The following is a 7,182-nucleotide window of genomic DNA, read 5'->3' on the forward strand; positions in this document are numbered from 1 at the left end:
AGAGCTATAAGTTCTGCTTTTTGGGAGGAGGTTCCTGGAGGTAAGGGCCTGGCTTTAATTACTTGGTCAAGAGAAACAACTGCATATCCAGCAATTTTGGGGGAGCCAGTGGGCCTGGAAGAGGAGCCATCTATGAACAGCTGGTCACTGGGGTTGGTGAGAGTCTTGGAGGAAATGTTTGGGAAGTGTGGCTGCAGGTGGTCTTGGATGTCAGTGCAAGAATAAGTAGGAAGGGAAGAGGATACAAGAAGTAAGGATGCTGGGTTGAGGGGAGCACTTTTGGCAAGGCAGAATTTGGGATTTTTGATAAAGAGGCCATGGAGTAATTGAATCTGGGAAGGAGGAAGAGAGCTTAATGCTTGGGAGGAGAGGAGATCTTGTAGACTATGAGGACTGTAGACCGTGGTATTTTGGCTGATGTTAGTTTCTTGCTTTCTAGAGCTAAAACTGTGGCTGCTGCCAGTGCTCTAAGACAGGTTGGCCACCCTTTGACTGAGTTGCTGAGTTGTTTAGAGAGGTAGGCTACAGGAGCAAAGGAAGAGGGATTTTGTTTTTGTTGTCCTGAGACACCAAGGGCTATTCCTTGGTTTTTGGCAGTATAGAGAGTGAAAGGTTGGGATATACTAGGTAAGGACAGAGCTGGTGCAGTGATAAGATTGGTTTAGAGTTTGTGGAAGTTGGGGAGTATGTTATGTGAGGAGTTTAGGTGTTTGTTGAGGGGTCTTTGGCTGCTTTACAAAGGGGGCAAGCTAGGAGGGCAAAGTTGGGAATCCATATTTTTAGAAAGCCTGTTATCCCTAGGAAAGAAAGGATTTTGCTTTTTTAGGAAGGTAGAGATAGGCTGACTATTAAGGCTGCTGATGCCAGGGTCATGGCTTGGGACCTGGGGGAGAGTTGAAGTCCTAAGCAGGTCACCATAGGGGTGGAAAGCAGTGCTTTGGAGGGGGAGACCCTATGGCCTTTATTAGTAAGGAAATTGAGAAGGGTGGCAGCATGAGTTTGGGAGATTTTTAAGGAGGGGCTACAGAGGAGGAGGTCATCTACATATTGAAGAAGGCAGCTGGAGGAAAGATTTAAGGAGGTGAAGTCTTGGGCTAGGGCTTGCCCAAAGAAATGAGGGCTATCCCTGAAGACTTGAGGGAGGACAGTCCATGTGAGTTGTTGTGACTGGAGAGTGTTGGGGTCAGTCTGGGTGAAAGCAAAGAGGTTTTGGGAATCAGGGTGTAGGGGAATGGTGAAGAAGGCATCTTTCAGGTCAATTGTTGTATAGTGGGTGGTGTTGGAGGGGACAAGAGAGAAAAGTGTATAGAAGTTAGGGACTACAGGATGAATAGGGAGGACAGCCTGATTGATAGCTCGGTGGTCCTGGATGAGTGGTATGAGCCATCAGATGTTTTAATAGGGAGGATGGGGGTGTTATACGGAGAGTGTGTTGGTCTAAGAAGACTGCATGAGCAGAGCTTGTTTATGATGGGTTGTAAGCCCTTTTGGTATGTTAGGGAAATGGGGAATTGGGGAACATTGGGAAATTTAGAGGGTTGTTTTAACTGGATTTTGATGGGGTCCTAGTGAGCAGCTATGGAAGGGGTGGTGGTGTCCACACTACTGGATTAATGAGGGAGGCGGCTAGCGGGTGCTGGGGAGGAGGGATCAGAGGCTGGACTAGCAGAGAGGAGCAGGAGAGACTCTGGTTGAGGGGGACAGAAAAAGTTGATAGAAGCCTTGAATTTGGCTAAAATGTCTCGGCCTAGGATGGGGGTGGGGCAATGAGGCATGATAAGGAAGGAGTGTGAAAAAACAGTATTAAATAGGGAACAAGTAAGGGATTCAGTAGTGCATGGACATGAGAAGAGTACATCAACCCCCACAACAGAGACCTGGGAAGGGTAAATGGGTCCTAAAAATACAAGTAAAGCCGATTAGGTGGCTCCACTGTTGATTAAAAAAGAGATCGGTTTACCTGCTATTAGCAGAGTTACCCTGGGCTCCAATGCAGTGACGGCAGATGGGGCCGGGGGCCCTGGGCTCTGTCAGTCTCCAGCAGCCAGGCCAAGGAGGTGTGGGAGTGTGAGTGACTCTTCACTCTTTGATTTGCCAGGGCTTTGAGGAACCGGCCTGTTAGTCTACTTGTTAAGAGGACAATCAGACTTCCATTGACTGGTTTGTTGGCAGGCTGGGCAAGGAGTTTTTGGTATTCGTGGGTTAGGGCATGTTCAGGCCTAATGGCCTTCTTTGCCACACTTAAAACAGGGCCCAGGAGGGTCACTGCTATTGGGTCTTTTGAGCCTCTGGGCAGCCTGGGTAGATAGCTGCTGCTAGGAGCTGGTATTTAGCCTGATCTTGTTGGGCTTTATTTAATTTATTTTGCCCATCTCTGTTGTTGAAAACCTTGAAGGCCAGGATAAGAAGGTCTTGTAGAGGGTTTTGATGGCCATCTTCTACCTTTTTGAGCTTGCGCTGTATGTCAGGAGCAGACTGAGAGATGAAATGGGTATTAAGAACAATAGTTCCTTCCTGGGAGGTGGGGTCAACACTGGTGTATTTTTGGAGGGCCTCTGTAAAGCGGGAAAGAAATTTGGCAAGATTTTCATTGGCCCTTTGGGAGATTTTTTTTTTTGAGTTTTTTAAAGTTTACGGCCTTGTGGGCAGCTTCGTTAAGGCCTGCAATAAGGAAGTGATCATGTGGTTATGAGATGCCAGCCGGGCTCTGTGGGTTGGTACTCCCAGGAGGATTTTTCCCGGGGAAATGCAGCAGCCTTTATGGGCTTAGGAGGGTCTTGCCAATGAAGATCGTCAGCATGTGCCTGAGCTGCAAGCTGCACTCTTTTCTTTGTTTTTCTGGGAGGAAAGTAGAAGAAAGGATAATATAGAGATCATGCCAAGTGGGTTTATAAGATTGAGTGAGGTATTTGAACTTTTTGATGTAAGTGTCAGGATTGGAGGAAAAGGACCTGAGACCGTTCTTAATTTGGGAAAGGTTGGAGAGGGAGAAGGGAATGTGGATGTGAACGAATCCTTTAGCCTCAGCCACCTCTCGGAGGGGAAGTAAGGGGGCCGACTGTTGGGCATGCTGAGTCCGAGAGCAGGTATGAAGTGGAGATGGGGAGCAATCAGAATCAGAAGTTGGGTGGTTAGGAGAGAGGAGGGGAAAGAGGTAAGGCAGGAGCGGGAGCATATGGTGGAGGATTGTGATGATTTGGGGGAGGATTATGGTGTTGTCAGAGAGAAGGAAAGTTGGCAGGGTCAAAGAAGGAGGAATTGTCACTAGGAGTGGTGGAGGGGGGTGTTTGAGGATGGGTCGGGTTTGGAGCAGGCGAGGAGGATTTGGAAAGTAGAGCAGGACTGACAGAGGGAGGGACGGCTACAGAGGGCAAAAAAAAGCCTGAACATAAGGGATCTCTGACCACTTTCCATTGCGATGGCAGAAGTTGTCTAGGTCCCTGAGAATGTTGAAATTGAAAGTGCCATTTTCAGGCCATTGGGAGCCATTGTCTAGTTTATATTTTGGCCAGGGAGTGTTACAATAAAAGATGAGGTTTTTTTGGCCAAATTTTGGAATGGAGGATAAGGGCATTAATGTTACAGAGGAGATACCCAAGGGGCGGGGGGGGGATGTCTTTGAGGGAGTGGATTGGGAGGCTCCCTTAGTGAAATGAGAAAGGGAGGGGTAGAGACAGGAGACTTGGCTAGAATGGTGGGAGAAGGCATCCCTTGTCCCACGGTTCAAGTCGGAGAAGTGCGATAATCCTCCGTTCAGGCATCCCCGAAAGGGAGATACCAAGGGCCTAGAGGCCGGGAGGAGGAAACCCTTGGCCCAGTGCTAGGTCTTTCAGGAAGGAAAGAGTAGACAAGGGTTCCAGACCGAAGGCAAAAGTCTCCTTTACTCACCCCTGAGGTGGTCCTGGTGTCGGATGTGTTCACCAAGCGATGGAAAGGCTGTATGAGATCCTTGGGTCTCTAGCAGGTTCTGGAAGGGGTAGTTCGGCCGGGGGAAGAATGGAGGGAAGGAGAAAGGGAGAAAGGGAGGCCAAACTCTACCACCTTCCTGAGTTTCAGCACCAGAAATGTAAGGTCAGCTGAGAGAAAGGATGAGGAGACCCAAAGTCAGACAAGCAAGCTTTATTGAGCTGCTTGGCTGCTCCATCACAGTTAGAGGAGGCAGCCCCACTTACAGACTATAGCAGGGTTTTACAGGGCCAGAACCAGGTCAGGGTCGGGGAGCTGAGTCGGGGCAGGAGAACTGGGTCCCAGTAGAGGAGCTGAGTTGGGGATGCAGGTGTCTCAACTGCATCCTGGAGATGTTTTTTGCCAGCTTTGTTATGCGAGGTTAAGAGATATGTTAACCGCATCCTATAACTGTCTGGACAAACAGATACTGGAGGGCTCAGTGAAGGCAGGGGTTTGTCTTTTGCCCTGGGGTAGCTGTGTGGAGAGCACAAGGGAGTGTATTGTGAGGCCTGTGGGAGGGGAAGGGTCTGGTCGGGGTGACCCTAACAGGGAGTTTTTTCAGACCCCCAATTAAACTTATTTAATCTTAAATGGTCCTGTTAAGAATTCCCTCATCATCTTGTCATGCTCCAAGGCAGGCCCAGGAAAGTCCTAGTGAAAACTCTTGGTGGACTTTTGCGACATTCCACCCTTTGCAAGAGTGCACTGGTTCTCTCAGCTTTTAATATTTAACTTAGCCACTTGGTCAGTACTGAAACGGTTGTTGCAGAGGCCCGCCTTAGTTAGTGAGACCTGGCCTGCCACACACACAATGGGGCAATCTCGGCTTGCTGCAACTTCTGCATCCTGGGCTCAAGTGATTCTCCTGACTGGGCCCCTCCAGTAGCTGGAACTACAGGTGCCCGCCACTGCCCCCAGCTGGAGCTACACTAACTAATGTATAGGAATAGATTGAAATAGAGATTTCTCCACAACAGTGCTGGATGAACACCTCAAGGGGATCACACAACCTCTTCCGGGACGTGGTGACCATTGTTTCTGTCCGTGTTCAACTGAGTTCAAATTTGATATTTAAGTTTTCCTCCACATTCGGCCTCAATTTGATACTCAATTGTAGGAAAATACCCTTACAGATACATGGGGAAGGCACAGTTGATATAGATTACAGATACAGGGTAAGCACAGGAGAATTAAAATCACAATTAATAAAAACCACACCCACTATGGCCAATGCCAATGCCAGTTGGATAGCCAGTCCTTGATGGGGTCCTACTGGTTAGATTCCAACTGTTTTACCTGTTTTTGCATGTCTTGGGCAAGAAGAGTAATACTGTGAGAATTGTCAGGGATATACACACAACATTCAGTATGCAGTAAGGAGCAAAACTCTCCTTGGGCTGCAGTAAGCATATCTAATGTCATTCGATTTTGCAACACAACAGTATGCAGCTCAGCAAATTCATCGATAACAACATAAATCCAGTGCTACTCTCAAGAGCTTTTTCTACATGGAAACTTAATATTTTAATTTGTTGCTGAAGCAGGATTGTACCAGCGGCAGGGGAGAATACTGTGATAGGGTACCACCACCAGGGAGTCTGGCGCATTCACAACCAGCAATGTTTGTAAGCATCTCAATTACTGGGGAGGGGAATATCATCCCAGATGGTGAATGGAATTAATGGCCACCCCCAATGCATCTTCCTGCCCAGTGTGGGGGCAGGTATCACCATCTGTAGGATCTGCATACCCAGAGGGCCCTCCAGGGAACAGCAATGGTTTTACTATAATTATAGTGTATTAAGGTGTTATTAAAGTAGGAAAGAGATTGTGTTTCATTAGGAGCAGTGTCACTGATTTGGAGTATGTGTTGACAATTGTCTGGAAGGAGAAATGCCAGAGTGCCATTGGAGGAGCCATTCAAGGCCTCCAAACAAAGCGGAGGCTATATGGAGTCCAGCCACCAACATGGCAGGCTCTAGGTATATGCCATTCCAGGTATATTGGGCAGAATACCAAGGCTTCTGACATAAGGCAAGGGTGGAGTTAATCTTTTGTCCAACTTGAGCAAAGACAGAATGCTTGGTTTGGCCAAAAAAAGTCTGGGTTCGATTGCAAGTGTTGTTGTTGTGGCCTCATTGGTGCCGACATAGCATTCAGAAACATCGGCAGGGATGATTCTCCAAGGTAGTCCATTTCCTGTGGCCTCTGGCAATTAGACACATAGCCAGCATTGACTGCGGTTGGCTTCTGTTGCAGTGGTGGCTACCCAGTTGATGAACTCATTCTTGGCTCAGACATGATAACCCAGGTACTGATTACTAGCAAACAGGTTATCCTCTTTAATAAGAAAAATGGAGGGGCACATTATATTGTTTTTCCTCTTTAGGAAATTGTACTATGCCTTCATTTTCTGCTCCCATAGCTACAAGGTTACCAGACATAGGGACGGGATCTGATGGACACTGTACCCATATTTTGGCTCCAGGATTTAAGCTACTTGTACCAGTGGATCCGAATCCCCCAGTTCCATAAGTAGCCTCTTTTGGGGCAGAGATTTCCTCAGGGGTTAATTGTTGACAAGGTGTCACTAACAATTGAGAAACCCGCATCTGCAGTTTTATAGCAAAAGAATCTGGAGTGGTATTGTATAAAATGACCTTCAACTCTCCCCAGTAATCACTGTCAGTTATGCCCCCATGTACCGTAAGACCCCACATTGCAAGACCTGATCAGGATGTAACCCATCTGCAGTGTTTGCGAGGTATTATAACTCCTAGGCCTGAGGCCACCATGTATGTACTTTGGGCAGGAATTATCCCAGACTTGAAACTATGTAAGTCCAAGCCAGTAGCTTCTATTGTACTCTTTCATGGGAGTATAGCCTCCGGGTGGATTTTCTAGAATTTTAGCGAGAGAGGTTGGACTACACTGGCACACTTAGCAATTTGTAGGTGTGGGGTAAGCATTTGGCTCACTGGGGTTTCAGATGTTGTTAATCGCCAATTGTTTAAATTTTGTAATGTGTCAAACAGGTGATCCTTCCATTTTTCTAACTTACCTTGCCCTAACACTTTCAACTGTTTGTTCAATAACTCATTCATTCTTTCAGTTAAACCAGCTGCTTGCAGGTGGTAAGGAATATGGGAAAATCCATTCAATGCCATCTTGGGCTGCAAAGGTTTGTACAGCTTCACCTTTGAAATGGGAGCCATTGTCTGTTTGAATTTGTAT

The 7,182-nt window shown here is 47.2% G+C and overlaps 1 long non-coding RNA gene across 3 annotated transcripts in view; it reads left to right on the forward strand.

Moving 5' to 3' along the window:
* The window catches only part of LINC02987 (long intergenic non-protein coding RNA 2987), a 231,539-nt gene that overhangs the window by 49,007 nt on the left and 175,350 nt on the right, over positions 1-7,182 (forward strand). The gene's annotated exons all lie outside the window — the stretch shown is intronic.

Source organism: Homo sapiens, chromosome 19, assembly GCF_000001405.40.
Source record: "Homo sapiens chromosome 19, GRCh38.p14 Primary Assembly".
NCBI lineage: Eukaryota > Metazoa > Chordata > Mammalia > Primates > Hominidae > Homo > Homo sapiens.